Consider the following 19,263-nt stretch of genomic DNA (forward strand, 5'->3'; position numbering starts at 1 on the left):
GTGTGTAGTAACAGTTAAGGTCTAGGATGCTTCTAATTGTTCATTTCATAGGTGGAAAAGGAAGATGGATACTTACTGCAAAGTATACAGCAAATTTTGTCTGGGAGCAAGACATACATAAGAGAAAGAATTTGAAATGACTCCAGCTTTGGTTGGGCAAATTCTGACAATTATTTTTAAATGTAAGCCCAATGAAGTCAAATATCTATAGTGACTGTTATCTCCAGATGAATTTTGAGAAAAAAAAAATAGAATTGTTATAAATTAAATGAAGCTTCAGAAAGATAGGACTCAATTTAGTCATATTGGTGGTTTTTTAAAAAATTCTAAATCTTTACATTGTATTTTAATGCCATAAACTCATTATCACTGTATAGGATGTTGTCAGTTAGGCTTACTAACGCTCCTTTTCCACCCCCCAACACACACAAATCATATATCTGATTTAAATCAGAACTCTGTCTCACACATACACACACACTCTCACACTCTCTCTCACACACACATGCACACACCCATGCTGCTGGAAATTTGGGGAATCACACTGAGTTGAGAATCAGAAAGTAACTGAGATTCTTATCTTTGGAAGGAAAGGTAAGTAAGTAGCTGAGGAGTTCCTATTCTTCTGTCAGCTCATCAGCCAGAGATGAGATCTGGTGCCACTCCAAACCCTGCCTGATGGGTTAAACCAGTATTAGGGTTATTTATTCTGTTCAGTACTTACTGAGTACCTGCTAAGTATTTAGGGAGAGAAAAGAAAAGTGTATAGACGATGTTATCTCTTCTAATAAAGCATCATTTTTGCGGGGGAGGGGTTGCTTTTTATTTTGTACATGAATACATGAAGTGGCACAACATTCAAAAGAGATTAAAAGGATAGGCAGTAAAAAGTAAGTCTTCTTTCCCTGTCCCTAGCCCACCTAGTTCTGCTACCTTGAGGCAACTACAGTTATAGTTTCAAAGTATAATTTTTAATATTTTTAAAATACTTTAATACTTTAAAAATCAGAACATTTATCTAGGAATAGAATAATATAGCAGTCATAGGGACACACTTTGACACATCACATAAGAAATTAGGTAAAGAGCCAGGTATATCGTGGCATGTGCCAGTAAGTCCCAACTACTTGGGAAGGTGAGGCAGGAGGATCACTTGAGTCCAAAAGTTCAAGTCCAGCCTAGGCAACATGGTGAGAACCCATCTCAAAAAAAAAAAAAAAAAGTGTAGCCCATGCCTGTAATCCTAGCACTTTGGGAGGCCGAGGCCGGTGGATTTCCTGAGCTCAGTAGTTCGGGACCAGCCTGGGCAACACAGTGAAACCCCCTGTCTCTACTAAAATACAAAAGAAAAAAAAAAAATAAGCCAGGCATGGCAGCATGCACCTGTAGTCCCAGCTACTTGGGAGGCTGAGGCAGGAGAATTGCTTGAACCCAGGAGGTGGAGGTTGCAGTGAGCCAAGATCTCACCACTGCACTCCAGCCTGGGCAACAGAGTCAGGCTCCATCTCCAAAAAAAAAAAAAAAATTGTAAAAAAAATAGGTAAAGTAAATCATTAATTTCTAAATCAAATAAGTTCAGTCATGACAGACAACATAAAATTTGTATGTGGAAGTCTTGGGGCTTAAGAGAGGATAAAAGTTAGATTAACATTAGAAGAAGGTATGGAAAATCTGTACACAAAACAGTACCTATACTTTAGCAGGGCAGCCAGTGAATCAGAAATGTGTTAAAGGGAAAGAGGTCCTCTACTTAGATCCAATAACTGTGTCTTTAGCATCTCAACCTCCTGAAAGTAAGAAGCTGGGGAGTTGGGGGTAGCTAGAGGGAGAGACCAGACCATCCATTTGCACAGAATATTCAAAAGAGTCTGTAGAACTTTGAGAAAAACCTTGCAGAGTGTACATCTTCACCTAAGACTAGAATAGCTAATGCGATTGTGAAATGGAATATTTATTTAGTGTGTAAGATTTGTGTTGATGGGTGGGGGGGGGATCCTTTGTCATTTATTTAAAAGTAATATAAAATTATAAAAATGTTTGTTACTGGCCCGGCAGAGCCAATTTGGCAGTCTAGAAAAAGTCTGGATTTATAAGCAAACTAATGGAAATAGGAAGGATTTTTTTAGTAATAGTTTTGAGGCAACTTTGTGAGGAGGGAATAAGTTGATTTACAGACCCATCTCAAACTATCTATAAACATATATATACATATATACACATGAACATCTTAACTTTATGTAAGCCTGGTCCTATTTACTTTCAAATGGACTGGAATGAAAAGAAATTATACCTTATTGCATTTTTGTCATGTAGTCCCAAGTAGGCAGCTTTGCTTCCTAAGATTTCTGGGGTGGTTTCTTCATATTTGCTTTGTATATGGGAGCTCATTTTTAGGAAGTTTTATAACCGAAATATCTTCAAATAAATATATGCAAATAATACCACAAAACAGCATAAGAGCCCTACTAATGATACAGTCAGCAGATGCCATATAATTGTGAACTGAAAGAGATCACTTTTGGCTAAATTATAGAGCTCAGCTCATTTTCACCTTTTCCTAAAAAGGTGACTCTAGGTAAAAGGTAGCTGAGCAGACCACAGCAACTCTTGTTCAGTTTGATTATTTTAAACTAGGAAACCAGGTAACTGCAGTAGATGCCTGCTATTATGAGGGATTAGATAGGAGCAGTGAGCCATTGCTCAGCTCCTGTTCAGTGTGGGGGTTCCCCAGCCAGTTCATCACAGGTATCAGAGGGCAAACACTGTGACAGGAGCTGTCAGGAGGACTATACAAAGAGAAAGCATTATTGACATAGCAAAGACATGAGGTGACCTAGATGTTTGTAAGCCACTCTGGCAGCTACAGCTGAGGGAGCAGGCCTGGTTAGAGATTTCTCACAGGTGTTCTCCAGACCCGAACACTGTAGTTTTATGTAGATTGCTCCCCTCTTGGGAAGGAAGTAGAGCTGTTTTGTTTCTATTCACGTGTTATGTATTACCTCTCTCACTATCTCATTAACCAGTGTTGTCACCACCACACCCAACTCTGTGTACTAAAATTTGTTGTTCAGAAATTAAAAAAAAAAAAACTTAAGACATGAAACCTGAGAGCCCAGTTTACATTTTTCTTTTATTTATTTATTTACTTAGAGACCAAGTCTCTCTCTGTCACCCAAGCTGGAGTGCAGTGGTGCAATCGCAGCTCACTGCAACCTCTGCCTATTCTCATGCCTCAGCCTCCTGAGTAGCTGGGATTACAGGCGAGCCAACACACCTGACTAATTTTTGTATTTTTGGTGGAGATGGGATTTCACTATGTTGGCCAGGCTGGTCTCCAACTCCTGGCCTCAAGTGATCTGCCCACCTCGGCCTCCCAAAGTGCTCAGCTTACAGGCATGAGCCACCATGCCCAGCCTTATTTTTATTTTATATATATATTTTTAGCCGGGACTACAGGCACACACCACCATGCCTGGCTAATTTTTTTTTTTTTTTTGAGACAGGGTCTTACTCTGTCACCCAGGCTGGAGTGCAGTGGTATGATCACAGCTCACTACAGCCTCGACCTCCCAGGCTCAGCCATTCTCCCCACCTCAGCCTTCCAAGTAGCTGGGACTACAGGCACGTACCACCACACGTGACTAATTTTTATATTTTTTGTAGGTACGGGGGTTTTGCCATGTTACCTAGGCTGATCTCAAACTCCTAGGCTCAAACAATCCTCCCACCTTGGCCTCTCAAAGTGCTGGGACTACAAGTGTGAATCACTATGCCTGGCCAACACTTGGCTTATTTTTTAAAAATTTTAGAGATAGAGTCTCACTGCGTTTTCCAGGCTGATCTTCAACTCCTGGACTCAAGCAGTCCTCCTGCTTCAGCCTCCCTAAGTAGTTGGGACTACAAGTGCGAGCTACCGCACCTAGTTCAATTTAGATTTTTCTATCATTATGCCATATTACCTAAGATACTGCAAGTCTGGGGCTGGTCTGAGTGCAGTGGTGTTTACAACTAGTTGATCACAACCAATTACAGATTTCTTTGTTCCATCTCTAATCCCATTGCTTCACTTAACTAACCTTAAAAAATAAATACATAAAAAGATACTCCAAGTCTGTACAGAATGTGTACTGTGGCTCTTCCTAGACAGGGCATCCAGCTCTGTGCCCTATTTGGAAACCAGGGCTTCCATCTGGCTCCAGATGCCTGATATGACAGAGCTGAAGATAGCTACTATAAAATATGTTCAACAGTAATTTTATTTTAAAACCATTTCTGGAGACTTTTTACTGGTCTTTAAAGAACCCTTTATTTCCTTAGACAGATTAGGATATTCATTACCCTATGCATCTTTGTGATCTTTTGGATTGTTAGAGGTAAGCCTTGCTGGTGATAATGTCTTCTGTTTTACATTAGAGTTTTGTCCCCCTCATTCTAGATTATAAACTTCCTGGAAGCGCCAGGCGCAGTGGCTCACGCCTGTAATCCTAGCACTTTGGGAGGTCGAGGTGGGCGGATTGCCTGAGTTCAGGAGTTTGAGAACAGCCTGGGCAACACGGTGAAACCCCATCTCTACTAAAAATACAAAAAATTAGCTGGGTGTGGCGGCGTGCGCCTGTAGTCCCAGCTACTTGGGAGGCTGAGGCAGGAGAAATGCTTGAACCTGGGAGGCAGAGGTTGCAGTGAGCTGAGATCGTGCCACTGCACTCCACCCTGGACGACAGAGCTAGACTCCGTCTCCAAAAAAAATAAATAAATAAAAAATAAACTTCCTGGAAGCAATGACATGTTTATTCAACCCCACTCCCCCAACCCCTAAACAAACACACAAGTAGAATATAGCTTTGAATAGTAGCTCCTTGCAGATTGAATGAGAAACTACTAGAGTTTGCGTTATCTGTTATTTTAATTTCTTAGTAGTGTCCAAGATATCACACTCTCCTAGACTGGGAGCCAAAGAGCTATAAAAAATTGGTAGCAAAGTCACCAACTTGCTAGGAATCATAAATTACCCCTTACTCTGAAAGGTTGAAGGAAATTTGAGTTATAAAAGACAATATGGTTACTCCAGCACCATCTAGAGGAAAGTCTAGAAAGGTTTAAAATGGTATTTTACAAGTTCACTATATCAGTTTATTTATCTATTTATTTAGAGACAGAGTCTCACTCTGCCGCCCAGGCTGGAGTGCAGTGGTGTGATCTGGGCTCACTGCAACCTCTGCCTCCTGGGTTCAAGCGATTCTCCTGCTTCAGCCTCCTGAGTAGCTGGGATTACAGTGCGTCACCATGCCCGGCTAATTTTTGTATTTTTAGTGGAGATGGTGTTTCTCCATGTTGACCAGGCTAGTCTCAAACTCCTGACTTCAGGTGATTCACCCGCCTCAGCTTCCCAAAGTGCTGGGATTACAGGCACGAGCCATCATGCCCCGCCATCAGTTCAATTAAATCTAGATATCACATTCTTCCTATCCTTTTTTATTATACATGTCATGATATGGTAAGATATCGTTCACTTGGCCATTCAACCAAACTTTACTCTCTTCTTTATTTATTTTATATATATTTTTTCTTTTTTATAGAGATGGGAGTCTTGTAATGTTGACCAGGCTGGTCTTGACCTCCTGGCCTCAAGCAATCCTTCCATCTCTTCCTCCCAAAGTACTCTGTTCTCATCTACTGCCTGATAGCATGTTATTTCTGCGTGTGTTTATCTCAACTGGATTGTAAAGTGTGTGAGAACAGATTGAGATCATGTCTTCTATTTCTATAATATGTATCTCCATAGCCCCTTACTACAGATAGGAAGTCATTAAAGATTGATTATTAAGTGATAGGTATAGGTATTACAACCTTATAGGCTAGATACAATATAGCAATATGGAAGATTCTTAAAAGCATAGCGCCAAGTGGGCCGGGCACGGTGGCTCACGCCTGTAATCCCAGCACTTTGGGAGGCCGAGGCAGGTGGATCACGAGGTCAGGAGATCGAGACCATCCTGGCTAACACGGTGAAACCCTGTCTCTACTAAAAATACAAACAATTAGCTGAGCGTGGTGATGGGCGCCTGTAATCCCAGCTACTCGGGAGGTTGAGGCAGGAGAATGGCATGAACCCGGGAGGCAGAGCTTGCAGTGAACCGAGATTATGCCACTGTGGTCCAGCCTGGGTGACAGAACGAGACTCCATCTCAAAAAAAAAAAAAGTATAGCACCAAGTTGAGGGGAAAAAAAACAGAATAGAAAAAAAAAAATTATAGCACCAAGTTGAGGGGAAAAAAAACAGAATAGTCCAGGCATGGTGGCTCACGCCTGTTGGATCACTGAGGTCGGGAGTTCGAGACCAGCCTGACCAGCATGGAGAAACCCCGTGTCTGCTAAAAATACAAAATTAGCCGGCATGGTGGCACATGCCTGTAATCCCAGCTACTCGGGAGGCAGGAGAATCGCTTGAACCTGGGAGGCGGAGGTTGTGGTGAGCCAAGATCGTGCCATTGCACTCCAGCCAGGACAACAAGAGCAAAACTCCATCCCCCGCAAAAAATCAGAATGATATCTATAACATAATACTAAATAAGCAAAATAAAATATATGAAAACAAAACAATAATATATATAATATACATTTATAAGAACATATACAGGCTGGGCATGGTGGCTCACGCCTGTAATCCCAGCACTTTGGGAGGCCAAGGCGGGTGGATCACCTAAGGTCAGGAGTTGGAGACCAGCCTGGCCAACATGGTGAAACCTCATCTCTACTAAAAATACAAAAAAAATTAGCTGGGCATGGTGGCAGGTGCCTGTAATCCCAGCTACATGGGAGGCTAAGGCAGGAGAATTGTTTGAACCCAGGGGACGGGGTTGCAGTGAGCTGAGATCACGCCGTTGCACTCCAGCCTGGGCAACGAGAGAAACTCTGTCTCAAGAAAAGTAAATAAAAAGAACATATACAAACAAAAATGTGTACATTAAACATAAAGAATGTCTGTAGGGGGCAGGGGCATGGAAATTGTGTAAAATGGAATAAGTAATTAACTAACAAGGGGAAGCTGAAAACAACAACTTTACCAGATTTAGAAAACAGCATGGATAAGTAGCAGCTTTTGGCGAAGGATGAATTAAGCAACTCAGCACTCAGTCAAAAGTTTTTACCTTATTTTCTTTTTTTTCCTTTTTTGAGACTGAGTCTCACTCTGTCACCCAGGCTGGAGTGCAATGGCGCGATCTTGGCCCACTGCAACCTCCGCCTCCCGTGTTCAGGCAATTCTCTTGCCTCAGTCTCCCAAGTAGCTGGGATTACAAGCACCCACCATCACACCCAGCCAATTTTTGTATTTTTAGTAGATATGGGGTTTTACCATGTTGCCCAGGCTGGTCTCGAACTCCTGACCTCAAGTGATCAGCCTGCCTCAGCCTTCCAATGTGCGGGATTACAGGCGTGAGCCACCATGCCTAGCTATCTTATTTTCTATAACTTATTTTAATATATTAGCCCACCAATCAGTAACAATTAACAAATATTTATTTAGCATCAAGTATTAGATCAGCTTTTTCCATATCTCCTTCCTACTCTCTGACACATGCCTCAGTTCTTCACTTGTGGTTTGGTCTCACTCTTCTTCATGTGTGTCATGCTTATCCCAAATCCATTTAGGATTATAAAATTCTCCCTATTCTTTCTCTGACCTAACAGTCCATGGCTTTACCACAGTTTGTAGTGCAGCATATGGTTTTGGGTTTTTAAGTAATGGGTTTTCTCCTTTTTTCTTTCTTTCTCCTTCCTTCTTTTCTTCCTCCCTTCCTCCCTTCCTTCCTCTTTTCTTTTCTTTTTTCCTCCGTCCCTCCTCCCTCTCTCCCTCTTTCTCCTCCCCTCCCCTCTCTCCCTTCCTCCCTTCCTCTTTCTTTAGATCCAGCATCCCAACTAATGGTTTTGAATATATCCATTCTCCGACACCACCCTGCCCCCCACCTCCAAGATTAGAACACAACTTTCCATTCAGTAGCCATATCTCTATTCTGTTTTGAATCTTCAGTAGCACTTGGCACAATGACGGAGTATGGTAAGTAGTATGGGCCAGGCACAGTGGCTCACGCCTGTAATCCCAGCACTTTGGGAGGCTGAGGCAGACAGATCACTTAAGGCCAGGAGCTCAAGACCAGCCTGGCCAACATGGCGAAACCCGTCTCTACTAAAAATACAAAAAATTAGCCGGGCATGGTGATGCGTGCCTGTAGTCCCAGCTACTTGGGAGGCTGAGCCAGGAGAATCACTTGAACCCAGGAGGTGAAGGGTTGCAGTGAGCCAAGATCGCACCACTGCACTGCAGCCTGAGTGACAGAGCAAGACTGTGTCTCAAAAAAAAAAAAAAATTATAAAAAATAATAGGTATTATGTATTTGCTGATTAGTTGCATAAAAGCAGTGTTTGAGGCCGTGCATGGTGGCTCACACCTGTAATCCCAGCACTTTGGGAGGCCAGGGCAGATGGATCATGAGGTCAAGAGATTGAGACCATCCTAGCCAACATGGTGAAACCCCGTCTCTACTGAAAATACAAAAATTAGCTGGGCATGGTGGTGCGTGCATGTAGTCCCAGCTACTCGGGAGGCTGAGGCAGGAGAATCACTTGAACCCCGTAGACGGAGGTTGCAGTGAGCTGAGATCGCGCTACTGCACCCCAGCCTGGCGACAGAGGGAGACTCCGTCTCAAAAAAAAACAGCAGCGTTTGAGGTAGATTAATCTGACAATAGTTTACCGCCTGGATTGACAGAGATAAAGGGTGGAGTTAGGGAGCACAATTCAAAGACTATTGGGATAGTCTACAGGTAAGTTAATGAGGACTTAGACTCTAGTGGTTGTGGGGATGTGGAGAGGAAGACATTATTCAGAGATTTCAAAGGCAGAATGGGCAGGTCATGGTGGCTGACTCTTGTCCAAATGCCAGAAAGTCAACTCTATTTACTTCTTTTTTTTTTAGCCCTTGATCCCTCCTGGCTATGCCCAAAGTTTCCTGCTTCCTTTACAGATCATCAGTTGCCTCTCCTCAGGATCCAGAATTCTCACAACTTTCAAGAATTCAAACTGGGCAAGCAAATCCCTGAAAGGCAAAACTGACTGCACTGGTAGAAGTGGCTTGATCCCCAGCTTTCTGTCTCCCAGCATGAAGATAGCAGCAGCTTAGTTAACTTCTCTATAAAGAGGCAGAAGGAAAACAATGCTTGGCTTTTATGCCTTATGTGTAGCAGTTCTTATACTTTTTGGTCTCAGGACCCCTTTTCATTTACCTTAAAAATTACTATTTTTTTTTTTTGAGACGGAGTCTTGCTCTGTTTCCCAGGCTGGAGTGCAATGGCACGATCTCGGCTCACCGCAACCTCCGCCTCCCAGGTTCAAGCAATTCTCCTGTCTCAGCCTCCCGAGTAGCTGGGATTACAGGCATGCACCACCACGCCCAGCTAATTTTGTATTTTTAATAGATATGGGGTTTCCCCATGTTGATCAGATTGGTCTCGAACTCCTGATCTTAGGTGATCCACCCTCCTCAGCCTCCCAAAGTGCTGGGATTACAGGTGTGAGCCACCGCGTCCAGCCTAACTTAAAAATTATTGAAGGGCCACATACCATGGCTCACACTTATAATCCCAGCACTTTGAAAGATATACACACACACACACACACATTATATATAATATACATATTATGTATAATATATGTTGAGGTAGATTAATCTGACAATAGCGTATATGTTGGGTGTGGTGGTGCACACCTGTGGTCCTAGCTACTTAGAAAACTGAGAGAGGAGGATCACTTGAGCTTTGGAGGTTGAGGCTTCAGTGAGCCGTAATCATACCACTACACTCCAGCCTGGATGACAAAGATCCTGTCTCAAAAAAAAAAAAGGTATTGAGGACCTCAAAGAACTTTTGTTTTTATAGATTATATCTATTGATATCTACCATTTAGGAATTAAAATTTAGAAACTCAAAGTGTGTATTATTCATAATAATGAACCTGTTACATGGTAATATAAATAGTATTTTTAATGGAAAATAACTATTTTCATATTTTTAGTAGAGACGGGGTTTCACCATGTTGGCCAGGCTAGTGTCCAACTGGCCTCAAGTGATCTGCTCACCTCAGCCTCCCAAAGTTGTGCTTTTTCGTTTCTCTCTCTAGGAGAGCCTTAAAGATCTATGTTTCATTTGTAGCCATTTCTGGGAATTCTTGGCACCTGAACTGAGATCCTCATTACCCATTGTTGTTAGAAATAACATGTTCAAAAGAGGTATAAAACGCGTTTTTAGTTTTTTAAAAGTTTTTTATTGGACATTTACCACACACACTCACACACTGCATTCAAAACTCGCTGGCAAACTGTGGTCGTAGGGAGTTACCAAAAATAGTTTCTCAGACTGATTCCTTTGGTTAGTAGCTATAGAATTTTTCCCCATGGACTTTGAGTTCCAAATAACAGACCCTTAAGAGAATCATGTAATTAGTGGATGATAGAGCTACGTTAATATTTACTCCCTGATTTCCTAGCCTAAAGTAGATTGGAAGAAGGAAGTTGGATGTAATAGAGAGGTTGGTGATAAGGGAAAGACTACTGCAGAAGGCAGACATATTAATGACGAGAAAAAGTAACTGCTGACAGCCAAAGAGGAGACCGAGAAGCAAAACACAGAAACTCAGCAGAGTAGTTTGGTCTCAATTAAAGAGGGCCATTAACCCCTAATATCTCAGGAACCTTCAAAGGGACATCTCTTTACCACACCACAGAATAATTGTATCTAGAATAATGACCCTGAGTCATCAAGAAAATTTTAAAATACGCTCTGTATATGGGAAGTCCCCAACTTACGAATGGTTTGTGGTCCAAAGTTAATTTTCAAAACATTTTTTTGGAACGCAAAATATTTTTCTTTCTTTCTTTTTTTTTTTTTTTTTGATACTGAGTCTTGCTTTGTTGCCCAGGCTGGAGTGCAGTGGCATGATCTTGGCTCACTGCAACCTCTGCCTCCTGGGCTCAAGCGATTCTCCTGCCTCAGCCTCCCGAGTAGCTGGGATTACAAGTGCACGCCACCATGCTCAGCTAATTTTTGTATTTTTAGTAGAGATGGGGTTTCGCCATGTTGGCCAGGCTGGTCTTGAACTCCTGACCTCAGGTGATCTGCCCACCTCAGCCTCCCAAAATGCTGGGATTACTGGCATGAGCTGCCACACCTGGCCTCAAAACATTTTCTATAGAAATAATGAAATAATTATTTTGGGCCTTAGACAAGCTGCTTTTTTCATTTTATCAGTCCAATAAACAACCTTTGAATGCCTAATATTAATAAAAGTATTTCTTTTTTATCTGGCTCTCATTTATATCTTTGTTTCAGTGAGAGTTCATTCTGAGGCCAGAGCCTGAACATAAATACAGTTCCCCTCTGGCCTCATAATCTGTTCCTCAAGGTGCAGACGGTCTATGTCAGGGATTATTAGCAAGTTAGGATTCGGTTACCAAATCCAGTCCCACTTCTGGTTTTTATAATACAGTTTTATTGAAACACAACTATGCCTATTTGTTTACATATTGTCTGGGGCTCTTTTTCTACTATAAGAGTTGAGAAGTTATGACGGAGACTGTGTGGCCTGCAAAGCTTTAAATATTTACTATCTGTCCCTTACTTTAAAAGCCTGCCAATCCCCAGTCTGTGTGATCTGGTCCACCGTTGTCACTAATATGCTGTCTCTCTGACCTCATGTGTTCTCACTCTTCCCCTCATTTATTCCACTACAGCCACACTATCCTCTTTGCTCTTCCGAACGTGCCATGTGCATTTCCACCACAGGGCCTTTGTACTTGCTTTTTCCGCTGCCTAAAATGTCTTCTAATTTCCACAGAGCTCGCTGTCTCACCTCTTACAGGTTTCTCTGCTTGAATGTCATCTTCTTGAGAAGGCTTTTTAAAATTGCCCTTTATAAAATAGCAGCATCACCATCCCTCACATCGTCTTCTGCTTTGTTTTTCTCCATAGCTTATCACTCTCTGGGTTTTTGTTGTTTGTTTGTTTGTTTGTTTGTTGAGACCGGGTTTCACTCCCGTCACCCAGGCTGGAGTGCAGTGGCGTGATGTGGACTCACTGCTGCAACATCCACCTCCTGGGCTCAAGTGATTCTCCTGCCTCAGTCTCCCAAGTAGCTGGGACTACAGGCGTGTGCCACCATGTCTGGCTAATTTTGGTATTTTTTGTAGAGACAGGGTTTCACCATGTTGGCCAGGCTGGTCTCGAACTCCTGGGCTCAAGCAGTCCTCCCGCCTTGGCCTCCCAAAGTGCTGGGATTACAGGTGTGAGCCACCACGACTGGCCGCGTATCACTATCTGACATATGCTTACATGTTCCCTTATTTATTGTCTTTCTCCTCTTATCTGAATGTAAGAGCAGAGACTTGGTCAGTTTTGTGTGTTGCCATGTCCCAGTACTTGAGAACAGTGTCTGGCCCAGAGTAGGTGCTCATTTGTGGAATAATAGAATGAATGAAAGCATGTATGTGTGCTAATCTGTACTTTACCCTGGTTAGTTAGGGTGTATTTGTATCCAGTTAGGGTATAGTTGTCAACATCAATCAGGATTGAAAATTGGGATTAAAATAAGATTTAAAAGCAGCATATAGGCAAATGCTGATGTTTCCATTTGGAAACTCAATGCTACTGGAATATTCAGGTACACTTCATCTCTTCCCCTTTCTCTTTTGTTGTCTCTTATGCTGAGGGCAAGCATCTGGCCTTATTTATCCTTATTCTCTAGTACTTAGTCCAGCACATTCCATAAAGTTGGCTCTTAATAAACATTTGCTGCCAACCCAGGAGTGGACCTCAGCATTTCTTCACTGTTTTTGTAACTTCAATACTTCACAGAATGCTTGGCAAATAATAGATGCTCAATAAATATTCGTTCAAGGTAGGAATGAATTATTTGTCTACCTAGGGTAGACATTATTCCAGGTTATCTGTTATGTAACAAATTAACCTAAAACATAGTTGTCTAAAACAATAAATATTATCTCACAGAGTTTCTGTGGCTCAGGAATTCAGGAGTAGCTTAACTGGGTGGTCTGACTCAGGGTCTCTCATGAGGTTGTAGTCAGTTGTTGACTGGGGCTGCCATCATCTGAAAGCATATCTGGGGCTGGAGGATCCTCTTCCAAGTTGCTTCACTACATGACTATTGGCAGAGGGCTTCAGTTGCTGGCCTCGTGGACTTCTCCATAGGGCTGCTTAAGTGTTCTCACAAAATGGCTGCTGTCATCCCTAAGGGAAGAAATCCCAGAGAGAAAGCAAGGAGGAACCCCCAATAATACCTTTTATCACCTTGTCTCAAAAGTCATGCACCATCACTTCTGCAAGTTGCTAAAGGCAGCTCACACTCCAGGGGATGAGAATTAGGCCCCATCTTTTTTTTTTCCTCTGTGAATTAGGCTGGAGTGCAGGGGCAACATCTCAACTCATTACAGCCTAGATCTCCCGGGCTCAAGTGATCCCCCCATGTCAGCCTCCATAGTAGTTGGCACTACAGGCACATGCCAACAAGCCCAGATAATTTAAAGAATTTTTTAGAGACAGGGTCTCACTACATTGCCCAGGCTAGTTTCGAATTCCTATGCTCAAGCAATCCTCCCACCTTGGCCTCCCAAAATGCTGAGATTACAGGCATGAGCCACCATGCTTGGCCATGAAGCATTTTTAAAACATTGAGATATTTCTACTAAAACTAATAATTTTTTTTTTCTTGAGACAGGGTCTCTTTCTGTTGCCCAGACGGGAGTGCAGTGGCGCGATCTCGGATCACCACAACCTCTGCCTCCCAGGCTCACGCGATTCTCTTGCCTCAGCCTCCTCAGGAGCTGGGATTACAGGCACGCGCCACTACTGCCCGGCTAATTTTTGTATTTTTAGTAAAGATGGGGTTTCACCATGTTGACCAGGCTGGTCTTGAACTCCGGACCTAAGATGATCCACCTGCCTCGGCCTCCCAAATTGCTGAGATTACAGGCATGAGCCACCGTGCTTGGCTAACTAATAACTATTTTTATGTGTTTTTTTGGGAATAGGTGATACATACAGATGTATGTATCACCTATACCTGTATGTATGAGTTCAAAAGCTAAAAGGTTTTATACAGAGAAATGATAGGATATGAGAGGTTTTATTTAACAGGATCTCTCTGGTCTCTGTGTTGAGAACAGGTCAGAAAGTGATAAAGATGGAAGCAAGTTAGGAAGCTATTGCAATAATTTAAGGAGTGCTTGGAGCAGTAGAAGTGGAGGTAATGAGAAATGATCAAAATCTGGATATATTTTGAAGGTTGAGCCAAAAAGATTTGCTGATGGTCAGGTGTGGGGACATGGATAGTAGGAGAGGAACCAAGTAAAACTCTAAGGGTTTTGACCTGAACACCTAGAAGGATGTACACATGCCATTACCTCAGATAGGGAGAATTCAGAGCAAGTTGTTTTTGTTGTTCTTGGAGGAGAGGGTTGTTAAGGAGAGGATGGGTATCAGGAGCTCAGTTTGGAACATATTAAGTTTGAGATCTCCATTTAGACGTCCAATGGAAATGTCAAGTTTGTGATTAGATACATGAATCTGGAGTTTAGGGGAGAGGTTGGGGCTAGGGATAGAAGTTTGAGTCATCAGCTACACATGAAGTACCAGCAAAAGATGCTGAGGAATGACCAGAGAGATAGGAGGAAAACCAGGAGAGTATGGTGTTCTGGAAGCCAAGTGAAGGAAGCGTTTCAAGAAGGGAATTGGTCTGAGCATGAAGGAGCTGAGCATGAAGGTACCAGATCCCTGAGAGAAAGTATGTACTAATGGAAATAGTAAAAATGAGGGGCCTAGAAAAAAATCTCTCTCTCTCTTTCTACTATTATACTTGGATCAGCCTTGACTACACAAATGTTTTGAGGTTTTGAATTATTATCTGAAACAAAGCAGTGCTGCTTTGGGATTGAGTTTGTCTCAGCATTTCACTCCTAAGAACTGTGGGAACCTGGCCAGTCGTGGTGGCTCATGCCTGTAATCCCAGCACTTTGGGAGCCCGAGGCAGGTGGATCACCTGAGGCAGGACTTCGAGACCAGCCTGACCAACATGGTGAAACAGTATCTCTACTAATAATACAAAAATTAACGAGGTGTGGTGGTGCACACCTGTAATCCCAGCTGCTTGGGAGGCTGAGGCAGGAGTATTGCTTGAGCCTGGGAGGCAGAGGCTGGAGTGAGCCGAGATTGCACCACTGCACTCCAGCCTGGGTGACACAGTGAGTCTCTGTCTCAAAAATAATAATAATAATAACTAGGGGAACCTGACTAGTGCCTCATACATGTCATCATTTTCCCTTTACTCTGCTCCAATATTTATCACCTTGAAGAAGGGAGAATAGTGAGTACTCTAAAACTTAATAATGGGTACTTAGATTATGTCCATAAGACTTGGTAAATCTGAAAGTAAGATTCTAGAGAAACACGGAGCACTATTTATTACTGCTGTTTTTTAGCAGTATTATCCTCAAACATGCTGAGCCTTTCCTTATTTTGTGAACACTTATGAAAAATAGTAAGTTTTCCAAGATGAAGACCAGTTTTTCTTTCTCTTCAGCCTACTTGCTTCTCTAAAGCTAGCCCCTAATAGAGAAACTTGGTCTGTTAAGTGTTATTTGCTGCTTTTCTTTCCTGTCGTCCTATTCTCCAGCTGTCTCAACTCGGAACCTTGCAGGAAGACTATTAAACCTCATCAATGTGTGTTTCCTTTGACATTTAAACAAGCCTCCATTTTGTCTTTCCATATCATAATTTTTTCTCTTCCCTTCTCCCATTTCCAGCACCTTGTTTGACCTGTCTTCTCTTCAGCTCATTCATTATTGCTAAAGTTTGCAGATTATACCAAAGGAAGAAGCCTGATTTATAAACATGTGTTCCCACCCAGCTGTTTCAAGAATAGTAATGAGATTCATCTTCTAGTTGTGTGCCTGCTCTCTGTGTACAGCTGTGCTCATCTGCCCTTATAAATGAGATGCCTATCTCTAAGTCTTACCTTCTCTATAAATGGACTCTGTTCCTATTAAATTGATTATGCAGTAATCAGAGCAGGCCACCTTTTGGGGGAGACATCCATTTGAAATCACTTTGCTAATAGCTAGAGAGAATTTAGCCTAATTACTTCTTTAGGAGAGATGCCATTTCCCTTAAGATGCCAGGGCACTGCAAAGGGATAGGATTCCTATCCTTTTCCCCTCTGGATGACCCCCTGCAATCCTGTATGTGTATGTGTCTTTTATCTAAGGTGAAGGTAACAGGATATTCTAAGAAAATTGTGTGAAAACAATCAGAATCCATTAGAGATAGCTGTGTCAGGCCTTAGAGTCTGAAAGATCTGACCACTAATAGTGAACCCTTGAGTAAATGATTTATCCTTTCTGGTGTATCATTTCCTCCTTTGCAAAGTAGCCTTAACAATCCTTATATGACAGGATTTTTGGCACCCACTTATGGCCTGCCTTCCTCAAAAAGTGATTTAAGACCAGGTGCCGTGGCTCATGCCTGTAATCCCAGCTCTTTAGGAAACCAAGGCAGGAGGATCACTTGAGACCAGGAGTTGAAACCAGCCTGGGTAACATAGTGAGACTCTGTCTCTATTTTTAAACAAACAGAAAAAATTATAAAAAGTAAACAAATGGGCCGGGCCCGGTGGCGCATGCCTGTAATCCCAGCACTTTGGAAGGCCGAGGCAGGCAGATCACCTGAGGTCAGGAGTTTGAGACCAGCCTCAACATGGAGAAACCCCATATCTACTAAAAATATAAAATTAGCTGGGCGTGGTGGTACATGCCTGTAATCCCAGCTACTCGGGAGGCTGAGGCAGGAGAATTGCTTGAACCTGGGAGGCGGAGGTTGCGATGACCCAAGATCACGCCATTGCACTCCAGTCTAGGCAACAAGAGCAAAACTCCATCTCAAAAATAAAAATTAAAATTAAAAATTAAATTAAAAAATAAATAAACAAATGCCAGCTACTCAGGAGGCTGAGGCAGGAGAATCGCTTGAACCCAGGAGGCGGAGGTTGCAGTGAGTAGGGATTGCGCCACTGCACTCCACCCTGGGCAACAGAGCAAGACTTCGTCTCAAAAAAAAAAAAAAACACACACACACAAATAAAAATAAAAGTGATTGGCCTAGTGACTACTGTAATCTCAGCACTTTGGGAGACCAAGTTGGGTGGATCGCTTGGGGCCAGGAGTTCAAAACCAGCCTGGCCAACATGGTATAACCCTGTCTTTACTAAAAACACAAAAATCAGCCATGCATGGTGGCACACGCCTGTAATCCCAGCTACTTGGGAGGCTGAGGCACAAGAATTGCTTGAACCTGGGAGGCGGAGGTTGCAGTGAGCCAAGATTGCACTACTGCACTCTAGCTTGGACAACAGAGCGAGACTCTGTCCAAAATAAAAATAATTAAATAAAAATAAAAGTGATTTAAGGCTGTAAATATTCAATAAGATAATATGAAAACATCTAGCACATAATAGTTTTATTTTTCTTTTTTACTTTATTGTATTTATTTATTTTTTGAGATGAAGCCTTGCTCTGTCGCCGAGGCTGGAGTGCAGTAGCACAATCTCAGCTCACTGCAACACCTCCTTGAACACCTCCTGGGTTCAAGCAGTTCTCTTGCCACAGCCTCCTGAGTAGCTGGGACTACAGGCGCCCACCACCACGCCCAGCTAATTTTTGTATTTTTAGTAGAGATGGGGTTTCACCATCTTGGCCAGGCTGGCTGGTCTTGGACCCCTGACCTCAAGTGATCACTCGCCTTGGCATCCCAAAGTGCTGGGATTACAGGCATGAGCCACCGCACCCGGCTTAATCCTATATTTTTAAAAATCTAAGATTTGGGCCAGGCGCGGTGGCTCATGCCTGTAATCCCAGCACTTTGGGGAGGCCGAGGCGGGCGGATCATGAGATCAGGAGATCAAGACCATCCTGGCTAACATGGTAAACCCTGTCTCTACTAAAAAATACAACAAAAATTAGCCGGGTGTGGTGATGTGCGCCTCTAGTCCCAGCTACTCGGGGGGCTGAGGCAGGAGAATGGCGTGAACCCGGGAGACGGAGCTTATAGTGAGCCGAGATTCGTGCCACTGCACTTCAGCCTGGGCGACAGAGCGAGACTCTGTCTCAAAAAAACAAAACAAACAAAAAAACCCTGAGATTTGTAGAAGCCAAGTGACTTGTTCAAGGTTACACTATAACAAAGCCAGGATTTGCACTGAGGTTTTCTAACTCCATGTCCAGTGATTTTTAGACAACATTGTATGTCGAAGAATAAATGAATATAAGTGAGTTACTAGAGATATGTCCTAGAAGTGCCAAATCAAAAAGTATTTTATTAGTGGGTGGCCGTAGACAAACAAAAGCTAATTCCAGATCCCCCAGATTTATTGTCTTGATATATTCCATAGAAAATATGCCTTGGAGCTGGGTGTGGTGGCTAACACCTGTAATCCCAACACTTTGGGAGTCTGAGGTGGGCAGATCACCTGAGGTCGGGAGTTCGAGACCGGCCTGACCAACATGGTGAAACCCTGTCTCTGCTTAAAAAAAATACAAAATTAGCCCGGGCATGGTGGCACCTGCCGTAATCCCAGCTACTCAGGAGGCTGAGGCAGGAGAATCACTTGAACCCAGGAGGTGGAGGTTGCAATGAGCTGAGATCAGGCCATTGCACTTCAGCCTGGGCAACAAGAGTGAAACTCTGTCTCAAAAAAAAAAGAAAAAGAAAAAGAAACACAGATGCAAGTCACTAAGTGGGGCTGAATCTGTGGACTGGCTGACCTCCAGATCTGGGAACAAAGAGTAGTCGTGAGAGGTGATTTCAGAGGAGTAAATAGATACTAAAAAAGCTCATAGACTAAGAATGTGAGGCCAGGAGAGTGAGATGCTAACCCCCAACCAGCCTTATGAAAGGAGGCTTAAAATAAGTTAATTGTTGAGTGGAGGAGGGAAGCTTTAAGGAGTTGGGAAGGACTGTGTCAAGCTGCCTCCTGATTCATTATTAGAATAGAAGTGTGATATCCTAAATTTCACTGTGGCATAGGCCATTTGAAGACCTGTTGTACTGAGTCCCTAGGGGGCCAGAAGAAAGAAATTGCAAAGTGATGAGACAGAGAAAGGGGAAAAAGTAATAACAAAGACATTCCACTCAATATGAGGCTGCAAAC

The 19,263-nt window shown here is 42.8% G+C and overlaps 1 protein-coding gene across 5 annotated transcripts in view, besides 3 other annotated features; it reads left to right on the forward strand.

Annotated features, from left to right (window-relative positions):
• The window catches only part of ZNF609 (zinc finger protein 609), a 226,491-nt gene that overhangs the window by 189,331 nt on the left and 17,897 nt on the right, over positions 1-19,263 (forward strand). The gene's annotated exons all lie outside the window — the stretch shown is intronic.
• Positions 4,099-4,599: an enhancer, noted in NCBI's record as "H3K27ac hESC enhancer chr15:64945206-64945706 (GRCh37/hg19 assembly coordinates)". NCBI's record gives its function as "activates a minimal SCP1, AML or CMV promoter by ChIP-STARR-seq in naive H9 embryonic stem cells {active_cell/tissue: H9 hESC(naive)}" and the evidence as "EXISTENCE:reporter gene assay evidence [ECO:0000049][PMID:30033119]".
• Positions 17,406-18,105: an enhancer, noted in NCBI's record as "H3K27ac-H3K4me1 hESC enhancer chr15:64958513-64959212 (GRCh37/hg19 assembly coordinates)". NCBI's record gives its function as "activates a minimal SCP1, AML or CMV promoter by ChIP-STARR-seq in naive H9 embryonic stem cells {active_cell/tissue: H9 hESC(naive)}" and the evidence as "EXISTENCE:reporter gene assay evidence [ECO:0000049][PMID:30033119]".
• Positions 18,106-18,803: an enhancer, noted in NCBI's record as "OCT4-NANOG-H3K27ac-H3K4me1 hESC enhancer chr15:64959213-64959910 (GRCh37/hg19 assembly coordinates)". NCBI's record gives its function as "activates a minimal SCP1, AML or CMV promoter by ChIP-STARR-seq in naive H9 embryonic stem cells {active_cell/tissue: H9 hESC(naive)}" and the evidence as "EXISTENCE:reporter gene assay evidence [ECO:0000049][PMID:30033119]".

This window comes from Homo sapiens, chromosome 15, assembly GCF_000001405.40.
Source record: "Homo sapiens chromosome 15, GRCh38.p14 Primary Assembly".
NCBI lineage: Eukaryota > Metazoa > Chordata > Mammalia > Primates > Hominidae > Homo > Homo sapiens.